Source organism: Homo sapiens, chromosome 12, assembly GCF_000001405.40.
Source record: "Homo sapiens chromosome 12, GRCh38.p14 Primary Assembly".
In the NCBI taxonomy this organism is placed as follows: Eukaryota; Metazoa; Chordata; class Mammalia; order Primates; family Hominidae; genus Homo; species Homo sapiens.
The window spans coordinates 106,419,487-106,443,822 of NC_000012.12; the positions used below are offsets into that span (position 1 = coordinate 106,419,487).

General features: G+C 38.5%; 1 protein-coding gene across 3 annotated transcripts in view; it reads left to right on the top strand.

Moving 5' to 3' along the window:
* The window catches only part of POLR3B (RNA polymerase III subunit B), a 152,451-nt gene that overhangs the window by 61,739 nt on the left and 66,376 nt on the right, over positions 1 to 24,336 (top strand). For all 3 annotated transcript variants that reach the window (NM_018082.6, XM_017019621.3, NM_001160708.2), the window contains exons 13-18: positions 7,711 to 7,872; positions 10,787 to 10,987; positions 12,832 to 12,994; positions 14,233 to 14,386; positions 17,571 to 17,645; positions 18,195 to 18,293. In NM_018082.6, the coding sequence (NP_060552.4) occupies positions 7,711 to 7,872; positions 10,787 to 10,987; positions 12,832 to 12,994; positions 14,233 to 14,386; positions 17,571 to 17,645; positions 18,195 to 18,293 (854 nt within the window). The remainder of the gene's footprint in view (positions 1 to 7,710; positions 7,873 to 10,786; positions 10,988 to 12,831; positions 12,995 to 14,232; positions 14,387 to 17,570; positions 17,646 to 18,194; positions 18,294 to 24,336) is intronic.

The following is a 24,336-nucleotide window of genomic DNA, read 5'->3' on the forward strand; positions in this document are numbered from 1 at the left end:
TTCAGGAATATAGTCAGTATGGAATCTGGAAAATCTTTAGCTTAAACATACTTCACTGAACCTCAGAATTCTTTAAGAAATTAATTAGTATAAATATGCCCCCCATATTACTTTAATGTTTTGTTATTTAACTTAGATCACAAATATATTGAGCTTTTTTCTTCCACTGCAAAGAAAAAAGATGTGTACAAAGGGAAAAAACTAATAGAATTAATTGTATAGGAGTATTTAGTATGCATAATATCTATTATATTACTGAAGAAGTCTACTTTTTTTTTATTTATAGTGAGCCAGATATTTAGTTTTGCTTTTTTTTTTTTTTTTTTTTTAATGAACTTGATATAACTGGCATTCTGGTTATGTGTTACTCTGTTACATGCTATCTCAAAATGGTGGCTTAAAACAACAACCATTTTATTATACATACCTCACAGTTTTGTGGGTCAAGAATTCAGGCAGGACTTGGCTATTTGATTCTTTTGTTTCACATGGTGTTGATGGAGGTTGGTTGGTTGATGTTCTGCTAGAGGTTGGTGGGAAGGGCTGGAAAGCTAGGCTCAGGCGTTTCCAGAGTTGTCACATTCGGTGGCTCAGGAATCTAAGAGTAAGTGTTTCCCATAGACAAGAAACTGTGTGACCTTAGTGACCTAGACTGAAAGTCACAGCATCACTTATGTTTATTCTATTGGTCAAATAGTCCCCACCCAGATGTGGGGCAGTGGGGCACGGGGGTAGGGATGGACATGGGCCACACCTCTCAATGTTTGCTTCAGGGATCAGCCAGAGATTTGGGCAAAGTTTATATATATAGTTTGGAGTTTTCTTCCTTGGGTTCTCTCCTTTATGGAATTCCCCTTCACCTTCCAGCTACTCAAATCCAGTAGTTCAGATCTTTTTCTTCTGTTTCTTCAGTCCAGTAAGACTGCAGGTCTTTCTCTGAGTTTCAGCTTCCCAGTGTGGCTTGGACCCTTTTTATTAACGTGGCCTACCCTTAGGTGAAAAGCCTTAAAAATGAGATGTGTACCCAGTGCCATTCACTCTCAGTGTCCTGCTTTTGGACACTCCCTAGTGCCTTCAAAAAGTTTTTAAATGTTTTGTCCAGAATTTATGATTATTATCTGCAGATGAATCCGTCTGATAGGACCTACTCTACCAATTCGGGAAACAGAGCCACCTAGTCTGTTTTCATGACTTACTGTTCTATCCCGTTGATTTGGCTTCCATAATCACTGTTTTAAAATATCACTGTGGTTTAATAGCATTTATAGGTAATTTTTAACATAAAAATTTAAATGTTACATTTATATGTTATGAAGGGTACAAATAAAATGAACAACCTCAAGGCCACTACTCAACAACTAGACTATTACCAATAGCATTTCATTTACCTATGTACCCCCTACTCCATTCTTCATTTTCCCCTACCATCCTGAACTTTTGCATTTTTTAATTTCTTGATTTATTATATCATTTACATCTTTAATTTTAAAGTTTTAAAATTATTTATTACAGTATAAGCTTTGCTTACTTTTGAACTTTATAGAAATAGATCCATATACCGTATAATTTCTCTGCAATTTTTTTCTTCTTTCAACATTAAGATGTGTCTATATTGTTGCATGTTACTGTAGTTCATTTTCATTTCTGTTTTCCATTGTGTCAAGATGTGATACAGTATGATGAATACCACTTTATTCATTCTACTGATCAAGGACTTTGTATTGTTTCTCCCCATTTGACATTAAAAAAAAAAACACAACAACACTGGCATTCTTATTTATATCTCCTGGTTTCCATATGCAAGAGTTTCTCTAAGGAGGATTGCCTAGTCATGGAGTCAGAGTCAAGTTAAATTTTTACCTGAACTGCAGAATGTCACACTAGTTTGCCAAGTATTTCTACATTACGTTGTATATGAATTTCTGATGAGCTCCGTCCCATGACTTACTATCAAACTTTTAAGTTTTTGTCTAATAGATGCAAAATGGCATCTCCTTGTGGTCTTAATTTGCATTTTCTATATTACTAATGAGGTTGAGCCCCTTTTCATGTACTTATTGACTATTCCTGTTTTCTTTGCAATGTCTTTTGGGTTGTTCCCATTTTTGTTACTGATTTCAAGGAGATTTTTGTATATTTTGCTTCCTAATTTTTTGTTATATGTGTTGCAGATATCCTTTTCCAGTCTAAATTCTTGTTTTAATAACTTTATATATATATATATATTTTTTGAGACAGAGTCTGGCTCTATCGCCCAGGCTGGAGTGCAGTGGCATGATCTCTACTCACTGCAACCTCCACTTCCTGGGTTCAGGTGATCCTCCTGCCTCAGCCTCCCAAGTAGCTGGGATTACAGGCATGCACCACCACACCCAGCTAATTTTTGTATTTTTAGTAGAGATGGAGTTTCACCATGTTGGCCAGGCTGGTCTCGAACTCCTGACCTCAAGTGATCCACCCGTCTCAGCCTCCCAAAGTGCTAGGATTACAGGCATGAGCCACGGTGCCCGGCCAACTTTATAGTATTTTAAAGTGCTACTAATTTGTGCTTTTAGTTGCAGCCATTTGTCAACTTATCTAACTTTTAATAGTGCTTGATATGGTTTGGATCTGTGTCCCCACCCAAATCTCATGTTGACATGTAATCCCCGATGCTGGACGTGGGGCCTGGTGGGAGGTGATTGGGTCATGGGGGTGGTTTTTAATGGCTTAGCACCATCCTCCTAGTGCCATTTTCTTGGTAGAATTCTCATGAGATCTGGTTGCTTAAAAATATGTAGCATCGTCCCCTTCTCCCTCTTCTTCCTGCTCTGGCCATATAAGACATGCTTGCTTCCCCTTTGCCTTCTGCCATAATTGTAAGTTTCCTGAGGCCTCCCCAGAAACTGAGCAGATGGCCAGCATCATGCTTCCTATACAGCCTGAAGAACCATGAACCAATTAAACCTCTTTTCTTTATAAAGTATATAGTCTCAGTTGTTTCTTTATAGCAATGCAAGAGCAGACTAATACAGTGCTCTTTATTTTTTAAACTTGTGTGTTTAGTATTTGTTCTTTTGTTCATCTGGAATGAAGTAAGGAATCCAATTTCATTTGTTTTCTAAATGGATAACTGGTTGTCCCAGCTCCATTTATTGTATAGTCTTTCATTTCCTCGCTGATCCAAAATGCATCTCTATCATATAACAAGTTTTATTGTATGTGCAGATCTTTTCTGGACTCTTTGGTCTATCCATTGGTCAGCTTGTCTATGTATTCATTAGTACCTTTACCTTTTTTAGGAGTGTCTTGGCTATTTCAGGGTCTTAGCTTTTCCATATAAATTTTGGAATTATTTTGTCAATTTTCATCAAAGTAAGTCTTCTAGGGATTCTAATTGGCATTGCATTGGAACTGTAGATCAATTTGGAGAAGATTCGTAATCTTAAAATATGTAGGCTTTTTATCCATGAATATTTTCTTTTCATTTATTTTGGTTTTCTTTGATGTTTTTCAATAAAGATTTATAATTTTATTCATGAGGGTCTTGCACCTCTTTCAGATTTATTTCTAAGTTTTTAAGGGTTTTTGGTAGACATTTTAAATAAAAATATGAACATTTTCAAAAATATACAAAAATAGAATAGTAAAATTAACTGCCATATATCCATCACAGACCTTCAACTATTATCAGTAGAAGGCAATCTTGTTTCCTCTGTACCCTTCTCAACTCTTTCCCCTCCCCTTATTCCCCAAATTATGTTGTTTAAACAAATTGTCGCCATCAAATCATTTCATTATCTCAGATGTCAAATCACATTCTGTAAATACTTAAAAATGTGTCCCTAAAAGACATGACTAAAATTTTTCACACCTTTTCACACATTAAAATTTTTTAGATAGATAGATAAGATAGGAAGGAATTTATTATGGGAATAGGCACATGTGATTATGGAGACAGAGAAGTCCCACAATGTGCTGTCTGCAAGCTGGAGAACCAGAGAAGCTAGCGGTATAGTTTAGTCCAAGTCCAAAGGTCTGAGAGCCAGGGAGGTGATGGTGTTAACTCTCAGACTGAGGCTGAATGCCTGAGAACCTAGAGTTCTGATGTCCAAGGCCAGGAGAAAATGGGTGTCTCAGCTCCAGAAGAGAGAATAAATTTGCCTTTCTTCTGATTTTTTGTTCTATCTGAGTCCTCAAAAGATTGGATGATGCCTGCTGACGTTGGTTGAGGGCGGATCTTCCTTACTCAGCCCACTGATTGAAATGTCAATCTCTTCCAGAAACACCCTCAGAGACACACCCAGAAGTAATGCTTTTCCAACCTTCTGGGCATTCCTTAACCCAGTCAAGCTGACACCTAAAATTAACTCACATATCCTTATGGTGTCTTTTTTTTTTTTTCCTCGGGACAAGAGTCTTGCTCTGTTGCCCAGGCTAGAGTGCAGTGGCACAATCTCGGCTCATTGCAGCCTCCGCCTCCCGGGTTCAAGTGATTCTCCTACCTCAGCCTCCTGAGTAGCTGGGATTATAGGCACCCGCCACCATGCCTGGCTAATTTTTGTATTTTTAGTAGAGATGGGGTTTCACCATGTTGCGAGGCTGGTCTCAAACTCCTGACCTCATGATCCACCCGCCTCAGCCTCCCAAAGTGTTGGGATTACAGGCGTGAGCCACCGAGCCCAGCCCTCATGGTGTCTTTTAACATATATATATATTCCTCTCCCTCCTAAATTTCTTATAAACCAGGAGTTAAATCTAGAGGATAGATGGTATTCCGGTTTTGGTTTGGTTTAGTTTTTGGGACTAGAACACTTCATGGGTGGTGGGAGTATATCCTATCCTGTATGTCTGATTTTATCCACTTTTTGTGCCATTGAAATTGATCATTGGGTTTAGGTGTTTGGGTCCCTGATTCATCCATTATTAAGTTCCCCATCAACTTTTCTCCTGATAGTTTTATTTAGCATCTGATGATGATCATTTCCTTTATTCATTATCTCATTAGGGCATGCAAAACAGTGATATTCTAACATTTTCATCCTGGTCCATTTATTAGCTGGAATTTTTTAATAAAGAGTACTTTCATTGTCATCCCTTTTGTTACCCTGAAACATAATTTCCATGGGAAAGGTGGGGTAAATGCTTGCTAGATTTTTTTTTAAGCCTGTTTGCAGAATAATGATTTAGTTCTCTAATTTCCTCCAGAAGTGAATAGTGAAGGTGTTTTTTCTCTGAGTATTATTATAAACTTAGGAATTTTAACATTTTTACTTAAGTTTTAGAATTAGCTTCTCCATTTTCACAAATAAATAAATAAAAGCCTGCAAGCTTTTTCATTGAGATTGCATTTGAATTTGTAGGTCAATTTGGGGAGAACTGATATCTAAATAATATTTAGCTTTCCAATCCATGAACATATCATCTCACCTATTGAAATTTTCTTTAATTTCTTTCAGTAATTTTCAGTTGCTTTGTGTTTATTGGCCTTGTATCTTGCAAACTTGCTAAACACATGTGCTATTTCTATTAAGGTTTTTTTCTTAGATTCTTTTGGATTTTCTATGTGGATGAACATATTATCTGCAAGTAAAGACAGTTTTATTGCTTCTTTTCCAATATTTATATCTTTTATTTATTTATCTTGTCCTATGGAACTGAATGGCACCTCCAATACAATGTTGAATAGGAGTGTTGAGCATGGGCAATCTTTTCTTTTTCCCACATTTTCTAAAGGAAAGCTTTCAGTTTCCTGCCCCTCCCTGTGGTATCTGGCCCCTGCTGTGTATCAGTGCAGGATCTTTGCCCAACCAGGTTTCCTGCTCCTCCCCTAGGGAAAGATGCTTCTCCCTCCTCTTCTCTCTGGCATTGCACCTTTTCCTGGAATCAGAGGATTTGCTGGACCTCTTCCGGGGGTAGACTGTTGTTGCTAGTTACTGTAGGTGCAGAGTTTGTTGGGAGAGCCTGGGGGATTAGGGACAGACAGCTTTTGCTTCTGTCCCTCTCTGAGAAGAGGTTATTTTTGCCTCCTGGGACTTTGCCAGGCAGGAGGGTGTCCTGCCCCCTTCCCAGGGACTTAGGTGTTGCTTCCTATGCAAGAAAGCCCAGGGAAGTAGGTAGGTAGGGTTTTATTGCCTGTTTTCCAACAAAGGGGTCTTTCTCAGGTTTTCTCCTCACTGCAGCCTTTCATGAGCACTCCACAGAAAGGAACTTGTGAGTGGGAGTGGACACTTCTTGTGCCTGGGCTTCAGAAGAATTCTGAACTTGTGTGGCAGTCCACATTTGGCCTTTAAGAAGTCCTTAAAATTTTAGCTGATTCCTTCAATTACACTATTTGCATCCTAACTTTTCTTTAAAGTTTAACCACCTAGTTGTACCTTTCTAAACAATATAATGTAGTTGTGCTGGGTTTTGAACCTTATATAAATGGAATCATGCCATATATATGTTGTTTTATGTCTGGTTTCTTTTGCTGAGTATTTGTTTTTAATACTCAGCCATGATTTTGTGGTTAGTTATTTTTTGTTCATTTTCATTGTTTTACAGTGTTTCATTATACGAGTCTACCACAGTTTGTCTATATATTATTTGTATGGTTTCCAGATTTTAGCTGCTATGAATAGCTAGTATAAGTATCTTGAGTGCCCTCCTCCTGCCAGCAGCACTGTCATCTCCTGGGAGCTGATTAGGCATTCATACTCGTGGGCACTACCTTAGACCTACTAAGCTGGAAATTGTAAGGGCAGGGCCTGCAATTTGTGTGTGTGTGTGTGTGTGTGTGTGTGTGTGTGTGTGTGTGTGTTTAAGACAGAGTCTCACTCTGTCGCTCAGGCTGGAGTGTAGTGGCGCAATCTCGGCTCACTGCAACCTCTACCTCCTGGGTTCAAGCAGTTCTCTGCTTCAGCTTCCCAAATAGCTGGGATTACAGGCACCCGCCACCAGACCCGGCTAATTTTTGTATTTTTAGTAGAGACAGGGTTTCACCATCTTGGCCAGGCTGGTCTTGAACTCCAGCTAATTTTTGTATTTTTAGTAGAGACAGGGTTTCACCATCTTGGCCAGGCTGGTCTTGAACTCCTGACCTCGTGATCAACCCACCTTGGCCTCCCAAAGTGCTGGGATTACAGGCATGAGCCACCACGCCCGGGTGCAATTTGTGTTTTAACAATCCCTCAGAGTGATTACTACACATGCTAAAGTTTGAGAAACACTCCTGCAGCAGGTATAACTAGGAGAGGAACTGTTGGGGCACAGGGATGGGTAGATAATGGCAAACTGTTTCCTAAGTGATTGTACCAATTTATACCTTTACCAATGATACAGGAAACATCTTGGATATCTTCAGAGTTTATAATGGTAATTCTTCTCCACCGTCCCCCCCCCCCCCCCCCGTCCTTTTTGGTTTTAATATATAACTTTATCTGTAAAATTAAAAATTAGGTCATTGGTCAATGAAATCTGAAAGTCTAGAAGTGACTGGTCTAAAGAAAATGTCTTTGAATGCAGTGAGTATGTCATCATCTTTGCTCTCGTTTAAATGCCTAGCACGGTGTTAAGCACATAGAAAATTATGTACATATCTGTCAAACTGAATTTGAAAATAGCAATTTTTTTTCTGTTTTAAGCAGTTTCTCCATCTTATTTTTTAAAAATCTTAAGACCTAAAATTTATTAAAATAATCTAGCAATGCTTTTTGAAAAATCACCATATACCTTTTTTTTTTTTTTTAGCTTTTATCTCTTCTTTTTGAAGACTTGTTCAAAAAATTTAATTCTGAAATGAAAAAGATTGCCGACCAGGTGATTCCTAAGCAAAGAGCAGCCCAGTTTGATGTTGTCAAACACATGCGCCAAGACCAGATCACCAATGGCATGGTGAATGCTATTTCTACCGTAAGTCTTCAGTCACTCTTTTAGGATTTTGTAATTTATTTGTAAACCTATTCAATAGAACAGAAACTTAAAGCACTTTGAGAATCCAGGTGAAATATATATATCAAAACGAATGTTTACAAAGCACAAATTTCTACTTTGAAAGAAAGTCTGAAGTGTTTATTACTATAACTTTCCTGCCAAATTATAGTTGCTGTTATATGAGGCAATAAGAAAATAGATACTCTTATATAGAGGAAAAATCTTCATTGAACTGTTAATAACCATTCTTTTAAAGAATACTTTCCCCTATTTTATTCTGTAGTAAAATTGACGCATTTCAGGCAGGTTTATTAATTATCAACCTTTTGTCCAAAATAATACAAAGTGTTTCATTTCACAGGAGGTTTATATTCTTCAAAGACCTATCAGCTGTTCCTCACATAAGCAATGAATTCAGTTCTGGATGAATTCAGTTCTCGGCAGCTGCTGTGTAGTCAGGGTCTCAGGCTATTCATAAAAGGTTATCAGATGGGTTTTTGCTTCCTTTCTTAAAGCATAACAACTATAGGTCTATCTGATGAAGTCTGGTTCATGTTTTGCATGCCAGACATAAAATTAGTTTTATGGATGAGATTTTGCCCCAACAAAGCATAGTATAATCTACCATGTTGATTCCCTTAATGATGAAAGAATTAGTGCAAACTTGCTTCAATACTTGACTTTAGAACTTTATAGTGTGTCTGTGTGAGTGGCCCATACAGTGACAGCTACATCTAAATTTGAGGAGAACCAGGCCTTTGTCCCTATTTAGGCACATAAACTCTAGTGGCCCAAAGTCGTCTGAGGTGGATCCCTGAATATTTGAAGAGAATCTTCCAAAGAATGCTTGAACAAACTTCTGTTAGAATTACTTTTCCTTGCTTCCTCACCCATGATTTTCAGGTCAAAAGAGCTATTTTGAGTAGTTCTTTTGCTCCTAAAGAAAACTGCTTTACCTCCCTGATAGAACTGCTTATTACAAAAATCAGTAGCAGGCCTAGTTACAGGTGTGCCCCACTCTAGGCAACAGAAAAAGATCAACCTTTAAAATTCTTAATGTTGCTATTAGAAGAATGCTTTTACCAAATACATTTTTCTCAAAGGAGCATTTTTAGCCCTCTTGTCTGTTTCTCGTCTCTCCCTTTTGTAATACTCCTACAGAATACAAGAACAAATTCTCTTGCTGAACATCTTGGCTTCACTCCCATCTACTTGCTGCTTGCCAACAGCTGCTGCCTTATTTTAGCTGTGTGCTGAATACTTATTTACCTTATTTACTCTTACTCTGTGGGCATAAGTCAGTTTACTAGATTCATTCTGCCTCCAAGGATAAAAGGAGTTAATGAAATAAGTAATAATATGAGAGGTTCATTTGTGGGATATATATGGTCGCTGTGTTTCTTTGCCTTATAATAGGGTTTCTTAGAGTTTAGCTCTTTCCCACGTTTCAGAAACTCAAGGTTCCAAAGTGATCGATCTTCACTATAACAGTGAGCCAACTGTAATTTGTGAGGGAGCTCCCCCAAAGTTACATATTTTAATGCAAACAGATCATCTAATCTTTTCCTGAAGCCTTAGCAGTTTTTCTGCTACAAGGGTTTTTAACCTGGGATCCACAAGAGTCCAAAAATGAATATAAAATTTTTGTTCTTGTTTCTATGTGCATTTTTCTCAAGAGAACATTCCTGGCTTTTATTGGGTCCTCTGAGGAGGAATGAAGAACCATGGCAGGTGCAGTTTTTCTCTTTAGAATTGTGAGCAAATCTTATTGTCTGCTTTGCTCTTTTTGCTTTTTTTTGGACAGCATCTTACTTCGAGGCTGGAGTACAGTGGTGCAATCTCAGCTCCCTGCAGCCCCTGCCTTTTGGGCTCAAGTGATCCTCCCACATAGCTAGAAATACAGACGTGCACCACCACGCCCAGCTAGTTTTTGTATTCTTAGTAGAGATGAGGTTTTGCCACGTTGGCAGGCTGGTCTTGAACTCCTGACCTGAGGTGATCCACCCACCTCGGCCTCCCAAAGTGCTGGAATTATAGGCGTGAGCCAACACACCCGGCCTGCTTTGCTTTTTTGATGAATACTGTTTTCTACTGTTAATTCATGTTACCATGAATTTAAATTTCAAAAATTTCTAATCTTAATCTTTATCCTTGAGAATATTTTTAATGTATACAATTAATACAATTATAAAATATATTTAAAATAATACAACATATTTAATGCATAAGAAGATAAAGTAAATTTAATGTTCAAGGTTTAGTTCATATGAATCTATTTTAATAATGACACAGTGGCCACAGAGAATATATGTTTCTTAATATGAATATATGTACTATTTTTAGATTCCTTAAACCTTAATTAAGAAGCCTTCAGTTTGTTCATTATCCTAAGTAAATGATATCTGAGTTATTTTTCTGTTGCTACATTTTCCTGTTCTTAAGACTAACTTTGGAAAACATCCAAATAATAGCACATTCCTACATGAAATGATCTCTTTGAGCTTCATACTAGTTTTCCTTTAAATGTGTATAGAAATTGCTGGTGTTTTATCAGTTAGCTTATGACTTCCCATGGAAATCTCTGGTTGAACTGGCTCTTCATTATAGAATTAGTTCCTCAGAAGGTGAGTGCTCTGATGTGGTAAGGTTATGCGTCGAATAATTCTGAGATGGTTGCTAGACATAGTAATGTTCATTATCTTCCTAGAAAACCCCAGCAAGTGACTTGACTAAACTTTCATTTTAATTGTGACACTTTGATTTCTGAATATATGTCATGGTTCTAATTTCGTAAGCATGAAGCTCCTGTAATGAACTTCTTGGAGTGACCGCACGGTATCAGACAACATAGGATTGGGTTAGGAATAGTCTTATGTCTTTCATCTCCCTACAGGGAAATTGGTCTTTAAAGAGATTTAAAATGGACCGCCAGGGTGTAACCCAAGTGCTGTCTCGCTTGTCATATATATCCGCACTGGGCATGATGACAAGAATCTCTTCCCAGTTTGAAAAAACGAGAAAAGTGAGTGGTCCTCGCTCCCTCCAGCCATCTCAGTGGGGAATGCTGTGTCCTTCGGACACTCCTGAAGGAGAGGTAAGGAATCTGAGGAGTCTTGATGCTGTGTAAGAGGCGATACCTATGTCTGTGCATGGGGTGGGGTGGGGAGGTCTGCTTCTGTTCCCATCTCCAGGCCATATCCTTTCTTTGGTCTGTCATTTATCTGGCAAATAAATATTGACATGCTTGGAAGACTACATTAGTATCATTCTAAAACTAGGACCTGCAGAAGCATTTGATTCAGTATGTTAGCTAAAAGTAATATAGTCCATGTTTCTCTTTATTATTTTAGTTTATCCCAAAATCAAAACATGCACAGAGGGGATAAGACTGTGAAGGCAGATTGAAAGACCTACCACCTCTCATGCTCATGAGGGGCTCTTTTTGAGCAGCTCCTTATTGTCCTTAGGTAGGCTCAGTCACAGCCAATTAGGAGTATACAGTCCATGACCTAATGTGGATTTTGACTCACTTATATTGGAAACACAAGCAATTGCCTAAACATCAAGCCAGGGAGTTTACATGGGTTTACTTCTATAGCACCCGCTACTCCCTGTGTCACGGTCCTTTCTCCTTTGTGTTAACATTGTTAGTTTCACTTGATTCTATTCCTTCTAAATTGTAAAATTCTGGAGGAAGGAAGGTTCACCATTGTATCTCAAGCTCCTAACATAGAGCCTTGGTTAGAGTACAGGCCCCATGAATATATGCTGAATTAATAATTACAACAAGTAAAAGATGTAGGGTCCAAAGTGTAGGAATTTATTATTTGGAAGAGATGAAAATAGGAGTCTGTATAGAGCTGCGATTTTTAGAAACTATTTAATTTATCTTAAACCATATGGAAATTGACACTAAAATTATCCAGTTTGTCAAATTTTGCATAATTTATATATCTTGAACTTTGAAACATTTCATTTCCCAGAGATTGCTTCAGCTAACTTCAAAAAAGTAGCTATTTTGTACATTACTGCAGCAGATGGTTCTAAGACCTGAAGATACAATCTTACAAGTCACCTGTCTTAAGTATTTTTTTCCTATTTGCTATATTCTGTCCTTGTTGGTATTTTTGTTTTAGAACTGTACCGGGTTGCATAGATGTTTAAAAAGATTTCTTTTCTTTTCATTTTGAAATAATTTTAGATATACAAAAAAGTGATGAAACTGGTACAAAGATTTTCCACAATCTTTCATCTAGATTCCCAACTGTGAACATCTTATGTAACCATAGCACTGTTATCAGCCTCATGACATTGAACAATACTATAATCTATGGATCTTATTCAAATTTTGCCAGTTGTCCCACTGTTGTCTTTTTTCTGATCCAGAATCACACATTGTTTTTAGTTGTCATGTCTCCTTGTCTCTTTTCATCTGAAAGAGTTTTTCAGTCTGTCTTTATTTACCTTTCGTGACCAAGAAACTTAAGGGCACTGGCCAGTTATTTTATACAGTCTCTCATTTCAGGCCAGAAGTTTTATATTTTTATGTAGCTGCATTTATTAATGTTTTCCTTTACTTATTTTATACAATGTCATCATAATGACTGTAATGTTCCAATGTCTGGGAGTAATTGTTAATGTAATCAGTTTTGTTGGGCATTTATGATGTCGTCAGCATTTACAATTACAAATAGTACTGTGCTGAGCATTTCTGTATCTAAATCTATTTTATATCCTTGCTTGTTATGAAGAGAAATTCCCCTGAGTTAAGGGATATATATATTTTTTAAAGGCATTTGTGCGAATCACCACAGTATCCCCTACAAAGTTGTACTGCTTTGCATTGCTGCCAGCAAAGTAGTGAGCTATTTTCAGATGTAAACTGTACTTTGTATTACTAATGTTCATTCTTAGAAATGACCATCTTTTGTTTTTTAGGCATGTGGTTTGGTTAAAAACTTGGCCCTTATGACACACATCACAACTGATATGGAAGATGGACCCATTGTTAAATTAGCCAGTAACTTGGGAGTAGAAGATGTGAATTTATTATGTGGGGAAGAGCTCTCTTACCCAAATGTGTTTCTTGTCTTTCTTAATGGTGGGTATATTATAGAGACATGTTGGTCCTAGATAGTCTGTGAAGAGGGGGAGGGAATCCATTATTATCCTGGTATTTAAAGCACAGATAGACTTTAATTCTGGGCCCAGGTTGACCTTCACTTAAAGGTAGAAAATACAATGATAACAGAAACAGTTACTTTGTTGGCTGGGTTATCCAAGGTTCTGAGAGGATATAGCTATCAGAGCTAAAGGGTAACTTTGCAGAAAGTGGCTGCTTTCTCCCCTTTTGCAGTTGCTGGCATATCCTTAGTGGAATACGGTTCAACATGGTATCTTTAAGTACAAGTCAAATATTGGAGTCATTCTGCAAAAATTATCAGATCAACTCTTATAATGAATTGACTTTGTCTAGCCATCTGATAATCAATATGTCAGCAGCCTGTGATAAGAGGATCCCTCTCCTTTGGCTCACACTCCAGTTATTTCTTTCATATACCTCTTCCCGTCTCCTTCGAAGTCTTCCAGAGACTTAGCAGCAAGTGTGCTCTCTTCCTTTCTGCTTTTGATTTGGTGCTGTGTGCCTGTTCTCTCCCTAGTATGCTCCATGAGCTTATCCCTTATCACTTGTCTGTTCTCTCTTCCTCTCCCCCTTCCTCTCATTCTAGGAGGCATTAACTCTTTTTTATATCTGCTGGTGAGGAAGGGGTCAGAGCCTCAGCAGGGCTGTTAACTGACTGCCTAGTTCATTGTATCCCAGAGGCTAACATTGAGTGAGCTTTTACTCTGCACTTTCACCCAGTGCCTCTTTGAATCCTCCCGCTAACCTTGGGAAGCAAAGTTCATTTTCCTCATTTCACAAATGTTGATTACAACAAGAAGCAGTTTAATAATAGCAGTTAGTAGGTGCTAGGCAGAATTCTCAGTACTTTAAATGATCAGCTCGTTTAACCTTTACTGCCAGCCTGTGGAAGTGATGGAGCCAGTGTTCAAACCCAGGTTGTTTGGACCCCAAGTTCATGCCCCAGCACTGTGCTGAAAGATGAGGAAAATGAAGCTGACTTTTCCAGTATTCCTCAGCCTGCATGTGGAAGGACTGGCCCTTAAGCATTCTTCCTTTGTTGCTTCCCTGCAACCTTGTGGACTGGCTGCAGGTGTTAATAATGGTATTTTCAAATAACTGCTTAGTGCTGATTACTATTTTTATTGGTTGGATATATTAAATCAGGTTGCATTTATTTTTTATTTCTGTCTTACCTGTTCTTTCTTTTTGCCTAGGTAACATCTTAGGTGTCATTCGAGACCACAAAAAGCTAGTGAATACATTTCGACTCATGAGAAGAGCAGGATATATCAATGAATTTGTTTCCATCTCAACAAATCTTACAGATCGATGTGTCTATATTTCTTCTGATGGGGGAAGGCTATGCAGGTATATATGCAGGTTACTAAAAAGAGTTTTTAAGAATCTCTTTATATTTGCTCTTGAAAGAAATAGACTTGTTTTTATTTTTGAAACTGTTTTAACCTCTTTCATTGTGAAGATAAATTTAATTCCGTGAGCAAACACTTCATGAATATGCATATTAGGTACCGAGGATTCAGATTAATGGGAGACAGAGTCTGCCCTCAGAGAGCTCAGTCTGCCGGGAAAGGCAGAAAAAATGACTAATAACAATCAACTGTGGTAGTGGTTAATGCTAGCCACCATTTGTCATTTTAATGGAGACACTATATGTGTAAGGCTTTAACTTCTTCATTCAACCCTATGAGGTTGGATTATTCTTGTCATTTAAGAAATGAGGAAACTGAGGTTCAGTGAGGCTAAGTAACTTACTGAAAGCTAAAGAGTGGTGGAATCTGTTTTTTATTTGAAAGTCCTTAGGATTCGTTTGACGCATGATTTTGCCCACTATAGTCTGTTGCTACAAACTGAGCTTTAAAGGAGGAGTAGGATTGTGTTAACTTGGAGGTAGGTGGGGAGGAGAAAGGCTGAAAAAAGGCAAGAATGAAAACATGGAGGCATGAAGAAATAAAATAACACTAGATCCAATGGAAAAGTAGGTTCCTTTTATTCATTCAGTAAGTATTTATTAAGGGCCTATTGTGCACAGGTACTATCTAGGAGCCGGAGGTACAGAGACGAATGTGACATGGTGTCTGGTTTGAGGGGCTATGCAGAGACATCAGCTGAGGACATTGCCTTGTGTCACAAGCCTTTTCTAGCATTACCGTAGTTATTCTGTGTATACCTCGGGTAGTGTTGAAGCACAAGGCAGTGAGCCAGCAGTAGCTGGAAGTCTGTCAGAGCTGGGAGAGTGACTGCATGCTTTCTTTCCTCCAGCATCCTTTCCTCCTTCATATGACACTACCTCATTTTCTTTTGAGGACTGCCTGTCCCCATTGGCAGGCTTCTTGGGATGGTCAGTCCAGCACCCTCTTCTCTTCAGCCAGGGGTTGGGCATATGACCCAAATGAGGTCAGTCAGACCCCCTCATCAGAGAATTTGAATCCCAGGTAAAATAAATCAAGGGAGGGAGGTGGTTGGACTTGATTCATTCTCCCAGTGCTACATGCAAGAGACTGCCTGTTAAACCTCATTTTCTGGATTCTTGGAACTGCTCTCGTTCCTTTTCTTTCTGAGGCTGAGCATTTCACCTTTTTCTTTGATTCTTATCCTTCCATTAAATTATTTTTTTTTTTTTGAGACAGAGTCTCACTTTGTCACCCAGGCTGCAGTGCAGTGGTACGATCTTGAGTCACTGCAGCCTCCGCCTCCCAGGTTCAAGCGATTCTCATGTCTCAGCTCCCCACCCCCGTCCCTGACCCAGTAGCTGGGATTACAGGCACACACCACTGCCCCTGGCTAATTTTTTGTATTATTAGTAGTGATGGGGTTTCACTGTGTTGGCCAGGCTGGTCTCGAACTCCTGGCCTCAAGTGATCCACCCACCTCAGCCTCCCAAAGTGCTGGGATTACAGGTGTGAGCCATCGCACCCAGCACCTGTAAATTCTTAATGCTTCCAGTAAACTTCATTTTTGCTTAAATTAGCCAGAATTGGTTTCTCTTCTTTGCAACCGAAGAATGGTTAGCTGATGATATACCTGTGTTTGAATCCTAACTTCCCACTTACTGAGTTGTGTGACTCTGAGTATACTACTTCAGTCTCTCAGCCTTGGTTTCCTTGGCTGTAAAATGGAAACAATAATGCCTGCCTAAGATTGTCCTGAGAACTAGTTGATAGAAGGTGTGGTAAGTGCTCAGTAGGGTGCCAGGCACACATTAGGTGCTTATTTATAACTTAATAGCATGGTCCAGTTAAGGGCAGGAATAACAGTGACATTTTCTAGGTTACTCTTTTTTAGGATTTCATTACATCCAACATAATATATATTCAAAAATAAAACTCTTTTATAGAAGCAACTTTATAATGGCATAACAGATCTAGCAGGAAAAAATAGTAGAATGCGTTGAGTAACGTAAGGATAACTGAGGCAGCTAAATGTGATCCCCTCCCTCTCCTCCGCCGGTTTCTGTCTTCTCATCTGAGGCTTAACCTGAATCCACTGCAGCGCTCAAATGAGGCATTAGTAGGCTCTGCTTCCCTACCAAGAAGGAGCCAGAATTTCGAGGTACTGTGGATTTCCATGAAAAGCTCACCCAGTTCATTTTTCAACAACTTGTGTTCCCCTTTTGTAATTGTGCAGCTCCTCTTCTTAACTGTTGAAAAGTGCTCATTAGTCCTCAAATAGTTATTTGGACTTTAGGGTAGAGCGCACAAGTGTCTGGTGGTTACTTGCTCCTCTCTGTAAGAGCTGCTTATCCAAATAGCAACAGCCCTTGACGTTTCAGTGCCGCATGCCATCCTTTGTGTCCGGGTTTCCTCATGGTGGCAAAGCCCTCCGAGGCAAGTCCCCACTGACAGTTACAGGTTAATCTGCCAGAATGCCTTCTCCACCTTCCACCCATTACGTCACTGAAAACCACAAAGTAAGAAAGCTTCATTCTCTGCCAACTTTTAGCCACTCTCTTTGGTAATGTGTAGCTTTAAGTATCTTGCTAACCTAGCTCAGTGATGTTTAGACTAAATCAAACTACTCTAAACATCTGGATATTCATCAGAACCTCACAACACAACGCCGTTATTACCCTAGGTGACAGTGCTTCTTTGCCTGTTAACTCCATGAGTAGTATGCAAAATTTTCCAATGTGAAATCGGGAAGTTTTTAGATTGATACATTACACCGTTTTTTAAAATATGGCATTAAAGGTTTTGTTTCCTTTTCAGACTTTGAGTATCATTTTTGTGTTGCCTTTTCATTCAAAACCAAATGTTTCCTAAGATACTTGCAGGAAGCACTGTGTGTGTGCATGAATATGTCCACACATACTCACATGTACACATGGGCTTGGGTATGTATGTGTGTGTATGTGAGAGAGAGCATAGTCCCCTACACCATGCTCATCCATACAAAAATTACCTGGTGTCCTCAGCAATCCAGGAATAGGTTTGTTTGTATTTACATCTTCCCTCATCTCACTTTGGTAAACTAACTTGCCTGTGTAATTTTTCCCTGGAACTATTATTAATTTGGTTTGCTGTTTCCATTCTAGACCCTACATAATTGTCAAGAAACAGAAGCCAGCAGTCACAAATAAACATATGGAAGAGCTGGCCCAAGGGTACAGGTAAGTAGCCAAAAGTAAAACTTACCAATCTCCTTAATACCCACATACATGATTTAAGAAAAGTGTATTTTCATTTTAGTGTTTTAATTTCTTTCCACCAAATTACCAGCCTGTTAAAAACCTATTTTGCTCCATGTGAACTTGCTTGGACATTGTAAAATATTCATCAATTTAGATCATGAGGGTTACCTAGTCTTGATGTCAGTTAGTACACAAGTAAGTGTTTCTGGTAAGAAAAGGACTTACATCATGTGTCAGTGTAGACACTGTGGGTCTCATTATGAGGTTTCTAAGGTCAGAATTTTTTTTTTAAGAAGTGGGGACTAGGTTCACAAGAGTTACAGACAGACACTTTGCTGTTTTTATTTCAGCAGTTTGTGGTTACTGTGTGAGCTAAGAATAACATGTTTCAGGTATCCCAATGTAATGATATTCTCTGGGAGAGAAAGGTGCTTTGGGCCTAAACGAAAGCCAGTATCTCCTGTTATTATATAAAATACTGCAGAAAAATGCTTTTTAATGATGTCTCTTTCACCAATATTTTCCCAGGAATTTTGAAGATTTCTTACATGAGAGTCTGGTTGAATATTTAGATGTGAATGAAGAAAATGATTGTAACATTGCACTGTACGAACACACAATTAATAAGTAAGTAGGATCCATAGCAACCATAATTAAAACGTGTTCTGACTATAGAAACTACCTTCTCTTTTACTGTCATCTTCAGTCCTTCTATCTTTTACTCTTTTGACAGGAACTGTTAGAAATATACAATCTTCTTTTTTTTGTTTGAACATGCAGGTTTGTTACATAGGTAAACGTGGGCCATGGTGGTTTGCTGTACCTATCAACCCATCACCTAGGTATTAAGCCCAGCATGCATTAGCTATTTATCTTGATGCTCTTCCTCCCCCAACCCCCTAACAGTCCCCCTGGTGTGTGTTGTTCCCCTCCCTGTGTCCATGTGTTCTCATTGTTCAGCTTCCACCTGTGAGTGAGAACATGCGGTGTTTGGTTTTCTGTTCCTGTGTTAGTTTGCTGAGGATGGCTTCCAGCTTCATCCATGTCTCTGCAAAGGACATGATCTTGTTCCTTTTTATGACTGCATAGTATTTCATGGTATATATGTATATTGTATATTTCTGTATGTACCATAAAGAAATATACAATTTTATAGCAGAGCATAACGCATCATTTATCCTAGTGAAGAGTATTACAAAGCAGCTAACAAGTCATCTTTAGATTTAATTATCCTTCCTATTCGTGTGACAGTTTATATATATACACACACACACTCATAGAAAGATATATCCATATATCCATATAGATAGATAACCATATATATATATGTATATAAAACCATATATATGTTTTTTTTTTTTTGAGACAAGGTCTTGCTCTGTCACCCTGAAGGAGTACAGTGGCACAACATAGCTCAGTGAAACTTAAAACTCCTGATCTCAAGTGATCCTCCCACTTCAGTCTCCTGAGTAGTTGGGATTACAGGCATGAGCCACCATGCCCAGCCTTAATGTGTATTTTTTAAAAGGAGTTGCTTCTCTGATTTTAATACTTGATTACTGCCAAAGTTGAACTAATGAATCAAGCTGTATAAAAATATACTTACCTCTGTTAGAGATGATTTTTGTCCATGGACATCTGAATTCTTGTCAGTGCAGGAATTCTCTACATAGTCTGTTCAAAAACTCTAAGTTTATGTGCAGTATGCACTTGAATTGGTAGTATGTTCACAATATTTCTTCTTGAACAATGATATTTTTAGAAGCATCTGTGTTCCATTTTAGAGTACATTAAAGAACATCTATGTAACTTGCTGTCTGATGCATGTGACTGATGTACCACTTACCTGAAATTGGAATTCTTGCAGATATATTGCTAGAGAGTTTAATACTACCACCTAATAACTATTTATGTCTTCAATCAAGAATAAGTACTTTTCTGACCCAGTGTAATGGCTCACCCCTATAATCCCAGTGCTTTGGGAGACTGAGGCAGGAGAATCGCCTGAGGCCAAGAGTTTGAGACCAGCCTGGACAACATAGCAAGACCCTATGTCTAAAAATAAAAATAAAAAATTAGCTGGACACAGTGGCACACACCTGTAGTCCTAGCTACTTGGGAGGCTGAGGTGGAAGGATCATTTGAGCCCAGGAGTTATGGGTTACACTGAGCTATGATTGTGCCACTGCACTCCAGCCTGGGTAAGAACCTATCTCTTAAAACAGGAAAAAGAAAAACTTTTCTGTTTTCTGCTACCAAATGAAATATATTACTTTTTAGAAGATTATAATTTACCAGCCTGGGTAACATGGCAAGACCCCGTCTCTACAAAAAACTTAAAAATTAGCCAGGTGTGGTGATGTACGCCTGTAGTCCCAGTAACTCAGGGGGCTGAGGCTAGAGGATTGCATGAGTCCAGGAGGTGGAGGCTCTGTGAGCCATGTTCATGCCACTGCACTCCAGCCTGGGTGACAAAGCAAACCCTGTTGCCAATATATATATTGCAAATATATATATTTTTTGCACTTTGTAAATAGTGGTTTTTGGTCAGAATTTTTCTTCCTTAAAGATGTGAATCTCTCAAAGTGCTATTTTATACCCCTCATTTCAAAATTGACTGAGGGCCAGGTGTGGTGGGTCACACCTATAATCCCAGCAATTTGGGAGGCTAAGGCATGAGGGTTGCTGGAGCTCAGGAGTTTGAGATCAACCTGGGCAACACAGTGAGACCTCATCTCTACTAAAAATAAAAAAAAGTTAGCCAAGTGTTGTGGTGTGCACCTATGATCCCAGCTACTTGGGAGGCTGAGGTGGAAGGATCACTTGAGCACAGTTTGAGGCTGCAGTGAGCTATACTTGGAACACCACTGCATTCCAGCTTGGGCGAGAGAGTGAGACCCTTACTCAAAAAAAATATAGATATAGATATGTATCCTGAGTATAAAAGAAAACTATTTTATAGTAGCCCCATAAATGACAGTTCCATCGTTGTATTACTCAAGCCAACAAAACTGTCTATTTCCGTCCTGACCCTTTTTCTCTATATTGACATCAATCCCTAGCTCATCACATGAGCCTTCCAAATACATCTGGAATCTGAACTCTTTTTCACTACCTCAATCCATCACCTAGTCCAGGCCATTTGTATGTCTTACCTGGATTTTTGCAAAGGCCTCCTGACTATTTTGACACCTGTTCCCATATAGTCTTTTCCTAATAGAGCAGAGGGGGCATGTCCGTTCTCTTCTCAAATCCCTCAGGGGCTGTCGGTCTCCCTCAGAAGTCCTTACAGAAGCCTTCCAGTTCCTGCACAATCTGCCCACTTCCATTTCTACCTCTCCCCACTCCCTGTTTCAACCACACTGGCCTCTTCTCCAAACACTCCAGGCGTGCCTCTGCCTTAGCACCTTTGCACTGGCTGCTTCCTCTGCCTGGAGCACTCTCTCACATACCTGCATGGCTCACTGCTTCACCCCCTCCAGGTCTTCACTTAGGTGTCACCTTCTCGTGAGATTTTTCTGACCACTCTAGTGAAAGTAGAAACTCTTATCTCTATCCACTCCTCTTTACTACTTTTTTTTTTTTTTTACTTCTTGTGCCTATTACCATAGAGTAAAATTGGTATTTTACTGATGTATCTATGTATTGTCTATCTTCCCTCACTTAGAAGCTTCACGAAGGCAGGGATTTTCATCTGGTTTTTCATTGATGTAAATGAATATAACTCTCAGCGTTACCCAATTACCAAGCTATTCCATACATCAAATTAATTTCATTTAAAAAATCTAGAAGTTTTTGTATTATTTAATTCATACTTATGTTTTTTAAAATATAGAAATGCATGAAGTACAAAGAATGAATCCCCTTCCTTTCCCATCCCACCAGACTCCACCCTCCAGAAGTTGCCGATGCTAATAATTTCTTATGTACTATTCTAGATTTTTTTTCTGAGTACAAACATACACACATGATTCCACACAATGTGTGTGTATAAAACAGTGATAACATTTCCAGTGCCTTGATTTTGAAACTTAACCAGTATACTCTGGACATTTTCCATATTAGTATATATATTTATATACATGTATATTTGTATACACAGTCTTATGTCACTTAATGATGGGGATGCGTTCTGAGAAGTTTGTTGTCAGGTGATTTCATTATGTGAATATCGTAGTGTACTTAAACAAACCTAGATGGTGTCTGTCACCCACTGTCACCTACTACACACATAGACTGTATGCTAAAGCCTATTGCTTCTAGACTACAAACCTGTACAGCATATTACTCTACTGAACATTGTAGGCAGTTGTAGCACAATGGTAAGTATTTGTGTATCAAAACATATCTAAACAAAGAAAAGGTATAGTAAAAATGCAGTATTATAATCGTTTGGAACCACCACCATTTATGCAGTCTGTTGTTGACCAAAATGTTATGTGGTGTGTGACTGTATACATATATATATTTTTTTAATTGCCATTTGTTATTACATTATCTACCTACACACATTTAGTTTATTAACTAGTTTCCTACTGTTGAATATTTAGGTAGTTTCCAATTTTTCTACTGTTATAAACAACAGGTTATTTAGTTTTCATTCGAACTAAATTTAAGTGCTTTATACACAGTGAATAAGAAATCTCGGCTGAGTGCAGTGGCTCACGCCTGTAATCCCAATACTTTGGGAGGCCAAGGCAGGCAGATCACCTGAGGTTGGGAGTTTGAGACCAACCTGACCAACATGGAGAAACCCTATCTCTACTAAAAATACAAAATTAGCTGGGTGTGGTGGCGCATGTCTGTAATCCCAGCTACTCCGGAGGCTAAGGTGGGAGAATCACTTGAACCCGGGAGGCGGAGGTTGCAGTGAGCCAAGATCGCACCATTGCACTCCAGCCTGGGCAGCAAGAGCGAAAATCCGCCTCAAAAAAAAAAAAGAAAGAAAGAAAGAAAGAAATCTCCCAATTCCTGTTCAGTTTCTAAACTGATGATTTTAAAGAGAATAATTTTTTTTTTTTGTAAAGTCAGAATCTAGAGTGTTTGGACTTCCAGTAATTATTAGATACTATGTGAGTTTATGTATGTTGTCACCATAAGAGAAAAAAACTTCAGATATTTCTTTTCATTTTTCAACTCAATCCAATGTTAACATCTGAAAAAGTAGTTTTTACTTAGATGGAAAATGTCAACTTGGCCAATATTTAAACAAAGCAGTATATTTAAAAGAAAATCTGTTTTCTTCTAGACTATAAAATGTAGCTATAAGCTGATGTTCTTTAAAGAAAAAAGCAAAACAAAACCTAGAGTATTTTCCCTTCCTGCTTAACAAAGGAAGTCTTTTCCCTTCCTGCTTGTCTGAGAGGATTGGGGTTCTGCTAGGTCATAAGGTGAAAACAGTACTCTTCAAACCAAGAACCACATGGAAGGCACTTTCTCTCACCAAACTAGGGACATAATTTAATACATGTGTTTTGGAAAAAAAAATAGGTTAATAACTGGATAAGTGGGAGATCTTTTACCAGGTACATTCCATTGATGGGCTGGGACGTGGTTTCTTGGACATCACTTCAGTCCACAGGTGCTGTAAACCACTGAAATTCTTAAGGTTACACTTCACAAACACTTGAGGGAAAAATAGCGGGTCCACAGAGATCACAGATCCTGGATGACACATCTGGTACTTTCCACAAATACCTATAATTAATCTGGGTACTCTTTCCTATTAACACATCTGAGTAGCTTCATCATTTGGCCAAAAAACTGAATTTTCTGCAGAAATATATTATGAAAGTAACCAAGATTCTGACATCTACTAGGTAAAATCTTACTTTGTGTCCAGTACTACCCATAGCAGAGCTGTCCAGTAAAATAAAATGCAAGCCACCTATATAACCTCAAACTTTCTAATAGCCACATTAAAAAGGTAAAAAGAAACTGGTAAAATTATTTTGAATAATAGTTTTATTTGTCAACATATCCAAAATATTATATCAACAGGTAATTAATATAAAACTAATGAGCTATTTTACACTTTTTTTCCTACTATAAGTCCTCAAAATCTGGTGTGTGCTTACAGCACATTTCAACTTGGATGCCAATTTTTTATCAGAAATACTAGATCTCATTTCATAACATTTACACTTTTAAAAGATTCATAAATGTGAGTTGTTCCAAGATAAAAGATTTTATATAACTGAACTGAGTTACTTAAATTTCAATTTGAGTTTTAAAATTTAAAGTAATTAAGTAAAATTTAAAAATTCAGTTTCTCAGTCACACTAGCCCGGCATTTCAAGTGCTCAGTAGCCACAGTTATCTAGTGTCTAGTGGCTATGGTATTGGTCTCTGTTGGTCTATAGTAACTATTCTTTTTTTTTTTTAAGACAGAGTCTTGCTCTGTTGCCCGGGCTGGAGTGCAGTGGCAAGATCTCAGCTCACTGCAACCTCCGTCTCCTGGGTTCAAGCAATTCTCCTGCCTCAGCCTCCAGAGTAGCTGGGATTATAGGTGCCCGCCACCATGCCTGGCTAATTTTTTGTATTTTTTAAGTAGAGACAGTGTTTCACTGTGTTGGCTAGGCTGGTCTCGACCTACTGACCTCAAGTGATCCACCTGCCTCGGCCTCCCAAACTGCTGGGATTATAGGCGTGAGCCACTGCATCCGGCCTA